The sequence below is a fragment of the Homo sapiens genome, chromosome 2 (genome assembly GCF_000001405.40).
Source record: "Homo sapiens chromosome 2, GRCh38.p14 Primary Assembly".
Lineage (NCBI taxonomy): Eukaryota > Metazoa > Chordata > Mammalia > Primates > Hominidae > Homo > Homo sapiens.
In genome coordinates this window covers 121,636,938-121,652,174 of record NC_000002.12, presented here as the reverse complement: position 1 = coordinate 121,652,174, position 15,237 = coordinate 121,636,938, and the positions used below count along the sequence as shown (strand labels likewise).

General features: G+C 43.1%; 1 protein-coding gene and 1 long non-coding RNA gene across 39 annotated transcripts in view, besides 3 other annotated features; one reads left to right on the top strand and one right to left on the bottom strand.

The window, feature by feature from the left end:
- The window catches only part of NIFK-AS1 (NIFK antisense RNA 1), a 78,907-nt gene extending 76,386 nt beyond the window's left edge, over positions 1-2,521 (bottom strand). Inside the window, exons 1-3 of one of the 3 annotated variants that reach the window (NR_037856.1) lie at positions 2,072-2,186; positions 1,794-1,874; positions 637-1,707 (exon numbers count right to left, since the gene is read on the bottom strand). This is a non-coding gene — a long non-coding RNA (NIFK antisense RNA 1). Of the gene's footprint in view, positions 1-636; positions 1,708-1,793 lie in introns of those variants that run through there. The other 2 variants (NR_037857.1, NR_037858.1) reach the window with 2 other exon arrangements.
- Positions 2,203-2,472: an enhancer, noted in NCBI's record as "active region_16469". NCBI's record gives its function as "activates an Ori minimal core promoter by ATAC-STARR-seq in GM12878 lymphoblastoid cells {active_cell/tissue: GM12878}" and the evidence as "EXISTENCE:reporter gene assay evidence [ECO:0000049][PMID:35858748]".
- Positions 2,504-3,130: an enhancer, noted in NCBI's record as "NANOG-H3K27ac-H3K4me1 hESC enhancer chr2:122406621-122407247 (GRCh37/hg19 assembly coordinates)". NCBI's record gives its function as "activates a minimal SCP1, AML or CMV promoter by ChIP-STARR-seq in primed H9 embryonic stem cells {active_cell/tissue: H9 hESC(primed)}" and the evidence as "EXISTENCE:reporter gene assay evidence [ECO:0000049][PMID:30033119]".
- CLASP1 (cytoplasmic linker associated protein 1) overlaps positions 2,713-15,237 on the top strand; it is a 311,687-nt gene continuing 299,162 nt past the window's right edge. For 34 of the 36 annotated variants that reach the window (XM_047443792.1, XM_047443782.1, XM_006712383.2 and 31 more), the window contains exon 1: positions 2,713-2,803. The gene's annotated coding sequence lies outside the window, so the exon portion shown is untranslated. Of the gene's footprint in view, positions 3,438-3,491; positions 3,542-15,237 lie in introns of all 36 variants that reach the window. The other 2 variants (XM_047443777.1, XM_047443793.1) reach the window with 2 other exon arrangements.
- Positions 3,131-3,759: an enhancer, noted in NCBI's record as "H3K27ac hESC enhancer chr2:122405992-122406620 (GRCh37/hg19 assembly coordinates)". NCBI's record gives its function as "activates a minimal SCP1, AML or CMV promoter by ChIP-STARR-seq in primed H9 embryonic stem cells {active_cell/tissue: H9 hESC(primed)}" and the evidence as "EXISTENCE:reporter gene assay evidence [ECO:0000049][PMID:30033119]".

Sequence of the window (15,237 nt, the reverse complement as noted above, 5' to 3'; positions counted from 1 at the left end):
AACAAACCCAAAACAGTTCTTTCATCATGTTACTATGCCTAGTCACGGACCTTAAACAATATAAAGTATGAATTTCTATACTTGGTTTCAAAATCTCCCACATTCTATTAATACTAATTTTTGAGACGGAGTCTCGCTGTCGCCCAGCTTGAGTGCGGCGGCGCAATTTCCGTTCACCACAACCTCCACTTCCTGGGTTCAAGCATTTCTCCTGCCTCAGTCTCCTGAGTGGCTGGGATTACAGGTGTGTGCCACCGTACCCGGCTAATTTTTGTATTTTTAGTAGAGACAGGGTTTTACCATATTGGCCAGGCTGGTCTCGAACTTTTGACCTCAAGTGATCCACCCACCTCGGCCTCCCAAAGTGTTGGGATTATAGGCGTGAGCCACTGCGTCTGTCCCCACAAGCTATTAAAATTAGGGTTTTTCTTTTTTTGTTTAAGACTAGCCAAGTGCAGTGGTTGAGAAGTGGAGCACAAGGAGAACAAGGAGTTTGGTCTGTAACTGGCAGTGAACAATCAAGATAACTTACTATCTCTGTATTACCCTAAAAGGATCTTGAAGAGTTATCTGTACACTCATGTTTGAAGCAGTATTATTCACAATAACCAAAAGGTGGAAATAACACAAGTGGTATATACACACAATGGAATATTATTTAGTCTTAAAAGGGAAGGAAATTCTGACACATGCTACAAGATGGATAAACCACAAGGAGATTATGCTATGTGAAATATGCCAGTCACAAAAATACAAATACTGTATGATACCACTTACACGGGGTACACAGTCAAATTCACAGAGACAGAACTAGAATGGAGGTTACCAAGGCTAGCTGGAAAATGGCGAATGAGAAATTGTTTAATGGGTTCGGGGTTTGTTTTGCAAGATGAAAAGAATTCTGGAGACTGGCCGCACGAGGTAAATATACTTAATACTAACGAATTATTCACTCAAAAATGGTTAAGATAATAAATTTTGTTGTGTAGATAAAAAAATTTAAAAATCGATTCCATCTTTCTCATCAAATCTTACTTTTTACTCTTTGTTTCTTTTTTTCCCATTTCAGTTAGATTGCTCTCTTCATTGTACTTCCAGTATGCCTCTTGAGCCTTTGCACCATGGTGTTTCTTCTCTGGAATGGTCTTTCATTATCACCCATCCATTTTCAAAAGGTTGCATGTGCTTTCGTTCCAAAGACATTAGTTTATAGATCCAACCAGGAGTCGCATCCTCCATGTCATCCCTACTCTTTCAAATCACATACCTCTACCTTTTCTGCACTACACAGAAGGGCCTACACACGGCTTTCATACTTTAGCTTAGCCTCTCCGACCATACCTCCTAAGACCCTGAGGATCAGGGGGCATTATCTCATAGTTCTCCCGCACTTCTCTCCCATCCCAACACATACACTAGCAAGGAGCTCCGCACACAAGCTCCTCCAGTAAAAACAACGCACTGGGCAGTGCATCTCAACACATCAAATTACCGGCGTGCATAGGAGCCTGATGCGGCAAATCTGTGGGTCCTTCGGGATCCTTGAAGGCAGCCCTATAATTTGCATTTTTCTACGCTCCAAAACACTTTCCGGGCCAGATGCGGTGGCTCACTCCTGCTGTCCCAGCACTTTCGAAGACCCAAGACGGCGGATCACTTGAGGTCAGGAGTTTGAGACAAGGCTGGGAAACATGGTGAAACCCATCTCTACAAAAAAATACAAAAAGTAGTTGGGGGGGGGTGGTGCACGCCTGTAATTCCAGCTACTCGGGAGGCTAAGGCAGGAGGATCACCTGAGCCTGGGAAGTCGAGGCTGCAGTGAGCCGTGATCGCGCCACTGCACTCCATCCGGCCTGGGCGACGGCGGTGAGACCCTGTCTCAAAAAAATAAAAGCCACCACTTTCCCACTTATTATCCCAGGGAAACGCACGCGACGGAGGAGCGAAGGAGCGTTTATTTGTGGAGGCGCTCAAGTAAGAAACCCTGCTCGCTGGCCGACTCAAGGGTCTCCAAAGCCTTCTCTGGGCTGTCTCCCCTCCCCAAAAGGCAAAGAACCGTTAACAAGTTTACTTCCGGCACAAGCGTCCGCGCCTGCTCGGAAAAGGGAGCGTGGACACACAGCTCTGTTACGGGAAGTCGCAGGGCACAATTTCCTTCATTGCAGTCGCCCTCTGGGCGGACGCCCTAACCCAGAAGTGAAAGACCGTTTCCTTCGAGTATCAGACCCCCGACCAAAGGAAGTTCCACTTGGACGACTTTTACCCAGGGTTTCCCGATTCCTCTTTAGCTCTTCCTATCACGCTCCCTGCTTGCTGGTGCATTGTTGCTGTGGCCACTTAGTTCCGACCTTCCTTGTCTAACTCGAGTTTTGTCGCAACTTTCCAAGGGGCCTAACCACAACCTTTTCCGTAAAAAAAAACAAAAACAAAACCTTTACCCTACGGGTCCCCATCAGGGTCAACTAACGTTCTCCGTGAGGGGCAAAGCTCCCGGGGACTTTACGCCAGCGAAGCCTAACACGGCCAGGCCAGCGCCTGCGCGGGGCGTTACCATAGAGAGGCAGCCGCCTCTCTGGTCTCGGTTTACGCTCTCTATGGTGTACCCGGGTTGGTGGCGGTAAGAAGAAAAAGGGTGACCGCACTGCGCAGGCGCCCTCGGCGTCTCTCTCGCTCTCTCGGTCTTTTTTTTTTTTTTCTTTTTTTTTTTTTTTAATCCCCGCACCAAGCGCTTAACCTCATTGGGGTGGAGGAGAAGGCGGCGGCTCTCTGGTCCGCAGCGGCAACAGTAACGAAAAACAGGGCTGTAAGTACCCGGTCAGGGGGCGGAGGGTCAGACCCGAGCCCTCTCGCGGCCCTGGCCCCTCCCGCGCAGTGGCGGGCGCCGGGTCTGGGTGGGGGCGATGTCCAGCGCTGTCATCGGCTCTTGGGTGCACTTTGGGGGGATGGGGCGGCCCTGAGGTGGGAGCCTGGCGAGGAGCGGGATGCGAGGGTTGTTTATCCAACCAGTAGGTCGCTGAGCCCAGGCTGCTTTGCAGAGGGAGGGGATCGGCCCTGGGGTCAGTCGGGCTTTGTGTGCCCCTCTCTGTTTCCCTTTTCCAGACCCCACCCGGGCCCCCTTCCTAACCCGAGTCTCCCCTGCCGGGTGGGAGAAGCCAGCGAGCCCGGGGCGCGTTTGAAAGGAAGGGAGGGGGCGAGGGAGAGAAACCCACAACAACTAGTCATTGGCGAGTGATGGGTGTGAAGAAAGATCCAGAGAGAAGGGGTGCCGGGAGGCGGGCGGCCCGGGCTCCCGTCCTGGGCTCCCAACCGGGCCAGACAAAAGCTGCGCGAGCGGCGCCGAGCGGAGCGGCCGGCTTGATGGGATGCACAAGGTCCCCTTGGTTCCCGGGGCCTTCGAAGAGCTTCTTTCTGAAGCTGGGAAAGCGAACAAGTGCTGAGTTAAGCCTGTGCAGACTTCTCAACTTGCCTTTGTTGTTCTTTGGTATTGGCAGAGACGCTCTGACGAAGATGAGTGTGTGATCTTGCACGTTAGCCTGGCTAGGTACAATGGAGCTAATCGAATTTTGCTTTCCGTTTTCCGAGCTGCTGGGATGAGTATGGGGCTTTCCAGAGTTTAAATTATTACATAATATTTTTAAAATAGTTGTTTGCTTCTAAAATTAAAAAAAATTAATGTGGAGTCTGAAAGCACGCTGTGGTGAGTTTGCAGCTGAGTTTGCAGCTGGGTGAGTTTCTGTGTAGTGGGGTGCGTTCATTAAATACTGACCATTCGTAGAACCTGTGAGCTCTTTAAACATGATACTTTCATTTGTAGATGTGGCAATGAGAGCTTCAGATTCTCTAGTCCTTTGGGAGACCGTGATGCAGAAGAGTCAGAAGCGAGAAATAGTTTCATGCCGCCATGTACCTTGGACCCTATTTGGGTGCCACAGTCCGTTTTCAATTCTGGCATTAGAAATTGTTTTTATTACTACGATTATTTACGACGGTAACTGACCTCTCGATATGAGGGATCCTGGATATTGGCTCCGTTTGCTCATCAAGGGATTGGGAGAATAGCAACATTGATGTTGCGACCATATAGATAAAAAGTAGCACAGTGCCTCAGAGTATTGAATATTATTTATTTTTTACATTTGTTAAGAAATTTAAATTTTGATGATCTGGTTATCTTGTTAAATTGTGTAATACACCTTTTTAGCAGTTGTTACTGAAATCTCAGTTTCTATAATTCATTGTTTATTATGGGCTACCTTGTAACACCATTTTAGACTTCTAAAGTTTTAGTTTTTATGAAGGAGTTTTCAGCCATAGCTTTTAATTCTCCCAGGTAAGGTTAACCAAAGTCAGGACTCCTTAGAGGAGACTTTGTTGGTGGTGGAGGTGTCAAATATTGTATCTCTGTGTTACAACTGAATTGGCAAATACAGAAAAGGCTTTTGCTAAGTTTTCACCATAAATTTGTGTTAGAACGGAAAACCCAGATCTCCTAGTATGTCAGGCTTTTGAATTAACCCACAGATTCCACTTTATTTATGTAAAAGAGGTAAACTTTTTTTTTAATTGATAGCAAGTAAAACTCTGAAGCCTGGTGTATTATGCTTAAGTAACTAGTGGGATAGAATCTCTTTAAGTGTAGTTCAGATGATGGGAACTTGCTTTTTATAGAGCAAGATTTCAGACCCTTAAAATAGTTTGACAGGGATGTTGAGAAATGATTGGCCAGAAGAACATGAAGTTTGTCATTTAAGTGTGTTATATTTTGTTTACTGGTTTTATTTATTATTTATTTTTATTTTTATTTTTGAAACAGAGTTTCACTCTTGTCGCCCAGGCTGAAGTGCAATGGTGCAATCTCAGCTCACTGCAACCTCCACCTCCTGGGTTCAAGTGATTCTCCTGCCTCAGCCGCCTGAGTAGCTGGGATTACAGGCACCCACAACCATGCCCAGCTAATTTTTGTATTTTTAGTAGAGACAGGGTTTCACTATGTTGGCCAGGCTGGTCTTGAACTCCTGACCTCCTGTGATCAGCCTGCCTTGGCCTTCCGAAGTGCTGGGATTACAGGCGTGAGCAATCGCGCTCGGCCCATGTTTACTGGTTTTAGATTTAGATTTTTTTTTTTTTTTTTTTTTGAGATGGAGTCTCGCTATGTTACCCAGGCTGGAATGCAGTGGCGCGATCTGGGCTCACTGCAAGCTCCGCCTCCCAGGTTCATGCCATTCTCCTCCCTCAGCCTCCCGAGTAGCTGGGACTACAGGTGCCCGCCACCATGCCCGGCTAATTTTTTTGCGTTTTCTTAGTAGAGACGGGGTTTCACCGTGTTAGCCAGGATGGCCTTGATATCCTGACCTCATGATCCGCCTGCCTCAGCCTCCCAAAGTGCTGGGATTACAGGCGTGAGCCACCACGCCTGGCCTAGATTTAGATTTTTTGCTTCCGTCTTGTTTATTTTCTTAAGTAGCTTAGTGTCTTGATTTATAAGTTGAATGAGATGGCTTCTTGGGCCTGAGACTTAAATTTACTGTTTGAGACCCATCTATTCTTAATAATCTTCTACTTAATAATTTTTAGATTTTTATTTTGTAGTACTGTTGGTAAATATAAACATTTAAGTGATTACAAATGTTAGATTCAACTGAGTTACTGAAACTGTCATTTTTGGTAACTAAATCTAGCTGTCAAATAGTGGAAATAGTAGACAGAAGTAAAACTTAAATGTTTAAAAACAGAACATTTTACAGATTTCCTAGAAAACAAGAGAAGAGGCTGGGTGCAGTGGCTTACATCTGTAATGCTAGCATTTTGGGAGGCCAAGGTGGGCGGGTTGCATGGAGTTTGAGACCAACCTGGGCAACATGGTGAAACCCTGTGTCTCTACAGAAAATTCAAAAATTAGCTGGGGATAGTGGTGTGCACCTGTAGTCCCAACTACTTGGGGGGATGAGGTGGGAGGATCTCCTGAGTCTGGGAGGCTGAGGCTACAGTGAGCCGAAATCGTGCCACTGCATTATAGCTTGGATGACAGAGTGATACCTTGTCTAAAAACAAAAACAAAACAAGGGAAGGATCTGTTAGTCTTAAAAACAAAAACTAAGCGAAGTAGAAATCATCGCTGATACAGTTTTTGGTTTGTAAGATGTAATCTTAAAAAATGAACTAACTTTTTTACCCATTGCCAGCGGGGCATCATCAACAAAGTACGGGTATATGTGTTTGACTAAATGACCTCTAAAATGCTGGCATTTACTGCTTGTTTCTAGCTTGTTCTTCACCTCCCCAGGGCTTTTCTGCCGGCTTTATGCCCAGACCATTACTGCCACACAATGATTTTCCTCCCCAAATTCTTATGACAGTCCTCATCCCACCTCCCCTCATAGATCCTAAAGATCTAGCTCAGGTGTGCTCAAATGGTGACATTTCTTCCATAACACCTTTGTTAACTTCTGTCTTGTTTCCTGCCTGGAAGTTTCCTCACTCCTTGCTGCTTCCTGTTGTATATATCACCTTCCTGCTTACTTAGATTCACTCTTGTGCATTTACTCTTCTCTAGATCCTTGATGGCACAGGGAGTTTGTAGAACACATTGTGTGTCCTCTGTTGCTTACTAAGTGACTAAGTGACTTGTATAACTAATGGAAACTGTAGAATGTATGAAAGAATAAACAAATGTATCCTAATGTAGACTAATATAATTTGAGCTTTGGAGGAGTTGTTAGAGGCCCAGTAGTCCAGCATCCTTCCTTATGTTTGCTACATTCTGATCATCAGTGTCACACTGCAGGCATCTGTCCCTGGACAGGTCTTGGTTGCCAGAAATGTTTTTAGATTACTACTACAGTCTGCTCCCTCCCTTTCACGTATTGACCTTAGTTATACTTCCTGAAGGAACCTGAATTAAGTCTGTTTCTTCTTCACATAATAGCACTTCATATTTCCCATGACAGATATCACACTTCTAGAATTATTGATTAATTTACTTATTAAACTCTCTCTTGAATTGAGCATCAGGTACCAAGAGGGTACAGTTGAAGAGACATCCATGGCCCCTGCACTTCAGGGGCTTGCAGTCTAGTTAGGGAGACAATAACATGAATCGATGGCTGATTATAGTGAAGGTATGCAAACAGCCCTAAATGGTTAGTCCTTTCCTGGTTTGATATGGCTCACCATGCTTTCTTTAGGCAACTCTTGTTTTTTTTTTTTTTGTTTTTTTTTTGAGACAGTTTTGCTCTGTTGATCAAGCTGGAGTGCAGTGGCATGGTCATGGCTCACTGCAACCTTGACCTTCTGGACTTAATCAATCCTCCTGCTTCAGCCTTTTGAGTAGCTGGGACTACAGGCATGCACCACCACACCTGGCTAATTTTCTAAATTTTGTTTTAGAAGTGTTTTGTAGAGATAGGGCCTCACCATGTTGCCCATGCTGGTCTCGAACTGCTGGGCTCAAGTGATCCTCCTGCCTTGGCCTACCAAAGTGCTAGGAAGCCTGGCCCAACTATTCCCCTACACCGGCCCCCAAGACGGAGTCTTGCTCTGTCACCAAGGCTGGAGTGCAGTGGCGTGATGTCAGCTCACTGCAGCCTCCATCTCCCAGGTTCAAGCAATTCTCCTGCCTCAGCCTCCTGAGTAGCTTGGGACTACAGGCGTGGTGGCACATGCCTGGCTAATTTTTGTTATATTTCTAGTAGAGACGGGGTTTTACCATGTTGGGCCAGGCTGATCTCAAACTCCTGACCTCAGGTGATCTGCCTGCCTCTGCCTCCCAAAGTGCTGGGATTGCAGGTGTGACCCACTGCCCCCGGCCATTGTTTTTTTTTTTTTTTAATGTCCTTTAAATGCAGTGTCTGAAACAAAACAGAAGATATGACCTGACCAGAATATACAGCTGTTTTCTTAGGTTAGGAAACTGAACCAATGATTTTCAAATTTCCTTGTGCATTCTGGCTCTGCCACTTACAAGTGCTGTGATTTTAGGCCAGTTAAATAATCTCAATATTTTAGTGTCTTCATCTGTAAAATGAGGGTGAGGGGAGGGCAGTGTTAATTGTAGCACCTACCTATAGGTTGTTGTCAGGATTAAATGAGATAATACGTGTAAAGTGTTGAGGATAGTGACTGGTATGTGTTAAGTCGGTAATACATGGTAGGAGTTAATAACCATGTAGTAGTAGTTGCAGTAATCAAGTCACTGGAATCTCTTTGGGACCTTGTTAAAATACAAGCAGCCTGGCCTTATTTTATTATCTTCCACCCAGGGAATTTGTAGGGGACCTGGGTAGCCACAGTTTTAACAGCCTTTAGATGATTCTTAGATGAGCCAGAGGTGGAGAACTCTGCACTTTACATTCGTGATATCATTAGCTTTTACAAATTAAAATTTTAAAATTCCCCAAGTAATAGATGAATAGATGTTCCTAAAAGATTCAAACAATGCAGATATAGGTAAAGGCATGGCTCCCAATTTCAGACTCCTGGAGAAACACCCACTTACCAGTTTGGAATGTATCCTTCCACACACTGTTACCCTTTTTTTGTAGATTTATAAATAAATGTCTTCATAATAATAATGGCCAGATTTAAAAGATAAAAATGATTTTTAATGCACTTTTACAGTCATAATCTTTGTTCCCTTCCAAGTCTTATGAGATGGGTAGGGGAGATAGCATCACGATCCTATCAATTTGCAGATGAGAAATCAAGGTCTGCAAATGAAATTCACCCTGATTGATCTAGATTGAGAACTGGGCCTTCTGTCTCTCAGCTTAATGTCCTTTTCACGTGAACCATGCTGTTTCCTAGCTACATCATCTTGGCTTATATTGAAGTTGTGGCTTTTGAAGTCTTCTAGTCTTTTTGCCATGCCAATAGCTGTCAAATCAGATTTCCTCCTTTCCTTTAGTGCGTATATACTTGCTTTTAGAAAAATACTACTTTTAGAGTATTTAAAGAAAAGAATAGAAAAAAAGTAAATTCAAGGTTTTATATTTTTGTGTATCTGTTAAGATTGATCTTTTGGGGAAAGAAATCTAGAACTGGCCTTGTGGCCATCTGATAGCATGGTGCGTTTAGGTGAGCCTGTCTTCATTCAGGATAGCTGAGGTCAGTGTAGGACTTTCCCTCACTACTGTCCAATTAACTCTCCAGGCAGAATCAGTTAAATATATTTATAGTCTTACTGCAATAATGTAGCAATAATATGGAAAGTTGAGAGACCAGTGGAGGAAAACCACATCAAACCATTTCAACATGAGCTATTACTTCCCGATATATCACTCTTTGAGACTGTCCATGTGTCCATTCTTTTTGTAAGTAATTTTAGGTCTTGCATGTTTTATGGATGGTTTTCTTATAATTACATAGTATATGTAATTTTAAGTTTTAATAGCTTTGTCATTTTGCTTAATATGGCAAATTTTGGTAAACTGTTTGAGATTTTTTTTGGGACAGGGTCTCACTCTGACGCCCAGGCTGGAGTGAAGTGGCGCAATCTCAGCTTACTGCAACCTCCGCCTCCCGGATTCAAGCGATTCTTCTGCCTCAGCCTCCCATGTAGCTGAGATTACAGGTGTGCGCCACCACGCCCGGCTCATTCTTGTATTTTTAGTAGTTACAGAGTTTCACCATGTTGGCCAGGCTGGTCTCGAACTCCTGACCTCAAGTGATCCACCTGCCTCAGCCTCCCAAATGCTGGGATTACAGGTGTGAACCACTGCACCTGGCCTGAGAGTTTTGACAGGAAGATTTTCTTTTTTCTTTTTTTTTTTTTTTTTAGCAAAAAGATACCTGCTCTGTCACCCAGGGTGGAGTGTGGTGGTATGATCATGGCTTACTGCAGCCTTGACCTTCCACCTCAGCCTCCTGAGTAGCTGGGATTAGCCAGGTGTGCGCCACCACCCTTGCTAATTTTTGTATTTTTTGTAGAGACAGGGTCCCACTATGTTGCCCAGGCTGGTCTCAAACTCCTGGACTCAAGCAATCCTCCTGCCTCACCCTCCCAAAGTGCTGGGATTATAGGCGTGAGCCACTGTGTCTGAGTAGTTATCTTTTTTTTTTTATTATATGTAATCCAATAGTGATTATCTTTTTTGTATAGTTTCTTTTGTGTTATTCCCTTAGGATAAATTCAAATAAGTGGGATTATTGAATTTAAGGGTATGAGCTTTTTTTGGTTTGTTTTTAAAGAGGCAGGGTCTTACTATGTTGCCTAGGCTACTCGAACTCCTGGGCTCAGTGATCCTCCCACCTCAGCCTCCTGAGTAGCTGGGACTGTAGGTGCACACCAGCACATCCAGCCTCATATTTATGACTTTTAATATGTATTGCCACTAGCTAACCAAAAATTCGTACCATTTAGTAATTTTCCCAGCAATCTAAGAATGTGTTAGTTTCACAAAAATGTTACCAACTTCTGGTGAATATAATTTAAGTATATTTTTTGCTATTATATGAGGTGTAGCTGGTACATTATTTTTATTTTTCATTACTTTTTGTGTTTATTTTAAAAAAGAATAAGCAATCATGAGGGCCTTCAGTATGATGAAACTGTATGAAACTCACATTGGGTATTACATGCAGGTGGTCTCTGTTACTTCCTTGGTTTCCAATCCTGTCTGGCATGACCAAAACTATTCCATTTCTAGATGGGCATAGAGGAAAATGCAGCCTTTGCTTTGTGGGACAGATTGTTGTAGTTGTCCACATCAGAATGTGATCTTTTTACATTTTTGTGGCCTACCTTCTAGTGTTTCTTTAAACAGTTGTGTGCTAGGCTCCTGTGTAAAATATTTAGTAATCAGAATATCTGTGGGTGTGGGCGATACCTGTTTTTTTTTTTTTTTTAACAGGTTCCCCAAGTGCTTCTGGGGCTACACAAGTTTGAGAGCAGCCTCTGGGGACTACCTTTTAGCGAATTTTCTTCATAGACTGTGTCTTTCCTGTGGGTAGAGGCAGACTCTGTTACGAACAGTAGCCCGGACATGCTAACAGAGGCCTGTTGTATAGAGAAAATGAATTGTGTAGCAGTGCCTTCCTAAATGAAGAGTAGCTGGGTTCGTTCTTGGAACAATAAGCCAGTCTTTCCTAAGAGACTTGAACTGCATAAAAACAGCTCCTTCTCTGATGTTTTTCTGTGGTGCTGGTGGCTGTTTTATTTAAGTTCTGGTAAGTCATAGTGTTCTCCCAGCCCAGGCCATATCCTGCTCAGCCTTTGGTTAGCTGAAAGGTAGCACATAGACCTATTGTCACACTAGCAATTACCATGAGATAGAACACTCACCATTTGCCAGGCAGTTGGATGGGTGCTAGAGGTATACTTCTGCCAATTCTTACAGTAACATTTAAAGGCAGGTGCTATTGTCATTTTATAATGAGAGAAAGCAGAGACTTGGAGAAGTTGAATAATTTGTTAATTGTCACACACCTGCAGAATAGCAGAATTTGGCTTTTAAAATCTTCAGCATGCTTTTCATTTATCCCATTTTTTTTTTTTCCAGCTCAGGTTGTTCTTCCTTCATGAAGGTCAGTGGGCTGCCTTGGGGAAAGGTATGCTGCCACTATCTGGCAGCATCTGGAAACCACTCACTAGTCAGGAGGGATGTAGAGATGCAGACTTCCCACTAGGGTTTCCACGAGGATTAGATCAGGTGACTGTACAGTCCTTTTTAGATTTGAGCTCCTGATATGAAATCTAACCTTAGACAATCCAGATAACTGAAGACCTGATAAAGTTTTTTTTTCTTTCAAGTGTTTTATTGTAGTAAAATATACATAACATAAAATTGTCCATTTAAACCATTTTTTTGTATTATACTTTAAGTTCTAGGGTACATGTGCACAACGTGCAGGCTCGTTACATAGTTATACATGTGCAATGCTGGCCCGCTGCACCCATCAGCCTGTCATTTACATTAGGTATTTCTCCCAATGCTATTCCTCCCCCGGCCCCCCACCCCATGGCAGACCCTAGTGTGTGACGTTCCCCACCCTGTGTCCAAGTGTTCTCATTGTTCAGTTCCTATCTGTGAGTGAGAACATGTGGTGTTTGGTTTTTTGTCCTTGCGATAGTTTGCTCAGAATGATGGTTTCCAGCTTCATCCGTGTCCCTACAAAGGACATGAACTCATCCTTTTTTATGGCTGCATAGTATTCCATGGTATATATGTGCCACATTTTCTTAATCCAGTCTATCATTGTTGGACATTTGGGTTGGTTCCAAGTCTTTGTTGTTGTGAATTGTGCCCCAGTAAACATACGTGTGCATGTGTCTTTATAGTAGCGTGATTTATAATCCTTTTTTTTTTTTTTTTTTTGAGATGGAGTTTCCCTCTTGTTGCCCAGGCTGAAGTGCCATGGTGCAATCTTGGCTTACTGCAACCTCTGCCTCCTGCGTTCAAGTGACTCTTCTGCCTCAGCCTCCGGAGTAGCTGAGATTACAGGCATGCGCCACCATGCCTGGCTAATTTTGTATTTTTAGTAGAGACAGGGTTTCTCCATGTTGGCCGGGCTGGTCTTGAACTCCCAACCTCAGGTGATCTGCCTGCCTTGTTCCCCTCCCAGAGTGCTGGGATTACAGGTGTGAGCCACTGTGCCTGGCCTAAACCATTATTAAGTATGCAATTAAGTGGCATTAATTACATTAATGCTATTGTGCCACCATTGCCATAATCTGTTTCCAAATCTTTTCCATCATCCCAAATAGAAACTCTGTAGCCATTAAGCAATAACTCCCCATTCCTCTGTCTCCCAGCACCTGGTAACCTCTGATCTACTTTCTGACTCAATGGATTTGCCTATTCTGGATATTTCATATAAATGGAATCATACAATATTTTCCTTTTGTGACTGGCTTATTTCATTTGCACAGTGTTTTTTTGTTTTTGTTTGTTTGTTTTTTTTTGAGACAGAGTCTCGCTCTGTCGCCCAGGCTGGAGTGCAGTGTCGCAATCTTGGCTCACTGCAAGCTCTGCCTCCCGGGTTCACGCCATTCTCCTGCCTCAGCCTCCCGAGTAGCTGGGACTACAGGCACCCACCACCAAGCCCGGCTAATTTTTTTGTATTTTTAGTAGAGACAGGGTTTCACTGTGTTAACCAGGATGGTCTCAATCTTCTGACCTTGTGATCCGCCTACCTCAGCCTCCCAAAGTGCTGGGATTACAGGCGTGAGCCACCGCACCTGGCCCCATTTGCGCAGTGTACTCCATTGTTGGCTGGGCACAGTGGCTCATGCCTGTAATCCCAGCATTTGGGGAGGCCAAGGCGGGTGGATCACCTGAGGTCAGGAGTTCAAGACCAGCCTGACCAACATGGTGAAACCCTGTCTCTACTAAATATACAAAAAATTAGCTGGGTGTGGTGGTGTGTGCCTGTAATCTCAGCTACTTGGGAGGCTGAGGCAGGAGAATTGCTTGATCCTGGGAGGCGGAGGTTGCAGTGAGCCGAGATCATGCCACTGCACTCCAGCCTCGGCAAAAAGAGCAAAACTCTGTCTCAAAAAAAAAAAAAATAAAAAAGAACACCATTCTTTTTTTATTGCTGAGTAATGTTCTATTGTATGGATATACCACATTTTGTTTATCCATTAATTTGTTGGTGGACGTTGGCTTGTTTCTGCTCTTTGGCTATTGTGAATAATGGTGCAGTGAACACTATTGTACAATATCTGTTTGAATCTCTGTTTTCATTTCTTTTGGGTATATACCTTGGAGTGGAATTGTTGCGTCATTTGGGTGATTCTATGTTGTAACTTTCTGGAACAATTGCTGAACTGTTTTTCACAGTGGCTGTACCATTTTACATTCTGACTAGCAATGTACAAGGGTTCCAGTTTCTCCACATTCTCACCAACACATGTCATTTTCTGTGTTTTTTTTTAATTTTTATTTTTATTATAACCATTCTATAATATAAGTAGTATCTTAATTTGGTTTTGATTTTAATTTTCCTAATGACTAAGTTGTTAGGCATCTTTTCATGTGTTTATCGGTCATTTGTATGTCTTCTTTGGAGAAATGTCTGTTCAAGTCTGTTTCTTATTTTTAAATTGGATTGTTTGCCTTTTTGTTTTTGAGTTTTATGATTGATTTATATCTTTTGGTTACAAGTCCTTTGTCAGATATATGATTTGCAAATATTTTCTCACTCTGGGTAGGTTGTCTTTTTACTTTCTTGATAATGTCCTCTTTTGTTGCTTGTGTTATCTCCTTTTTTGTTTTTTATTCTTTTTAAAGTTATCTCTTACAGGAAGGATTCCTTTTTTCTTAAAAAAGTTTTTCAATTCTTTTTTTTTTTGAGATGGAGTCTCACTCTGTCGCCCAGGCTAGGATGCGGTGGCATAATCTCAGCTCACTGCAACCTCTGCCTCCTGGGTTCAAGCCATTCTCCTGCCTCAGCCTCCTGAGTAACTGAGATTACAGGCATGCACCACCATTCCTGGCTAATTTTTGTATTTTTCATAGAGATGGAGTTTCACCATGTTGGCCAGGCTGGTCTGAAACTCTTCACCTTGGGTGATCCACCTGCCTTGGCTTCCCAAAGTGCTGCCTATAATCATAGGCATGAGCCACCACGCCAGCCTAAATTTTTTTTTAAGCTTTGTGTTTATGTTAGCATATATAAGAATTTGTTGCCAAATTCAAAGTAATGAAGATTTATCCCTATGTTTTCCTCTAAGATTTTATAATTTTAGCTCTTACTTTGAGGTCCTTGATCCACTTTGAGTTAATTTTTGTACATGGTGTGAGGTAGGGGTCTGACTTCTTTTTTTTTCATGTAGATAGCCAGTTGTCCTAGTACCATTTGTTGAAGACCAATATAAATGTTTTAGTTACTTATTTTCTGTATCCCTGAGTGGCATTTATAGTTTGCTTTGGGTTTTTGACTTCATTTTCTATTCTCTCAACCTCTCCTCTTTCCTTATTTTCTTCCCTCAAAACAGGAGATGTGGATGTTTTGTGTGTGTTATTGTGTTGCTGCTTGATATATGAGGCACTTAATAAATATGAATTCCCCTCCTTTCTTTTAACTTTGTGTTGTTATTTAACTTTTAAATAGTTTGTGTCCCAAAAACAGATTGTAAGGACCTTTGGGGTAGGAGAGTATATGTTCTATTTCTTTCTTTCTCAATTTCCTTTTCTCTTGAGGAGTGGACATCACTCTGGTGCCTAGTCTAGTACCATACAGGTGGTATGCTTAACCTATATTGACTGAATTGTGAAGCTGAACATAGATCTATGTGGA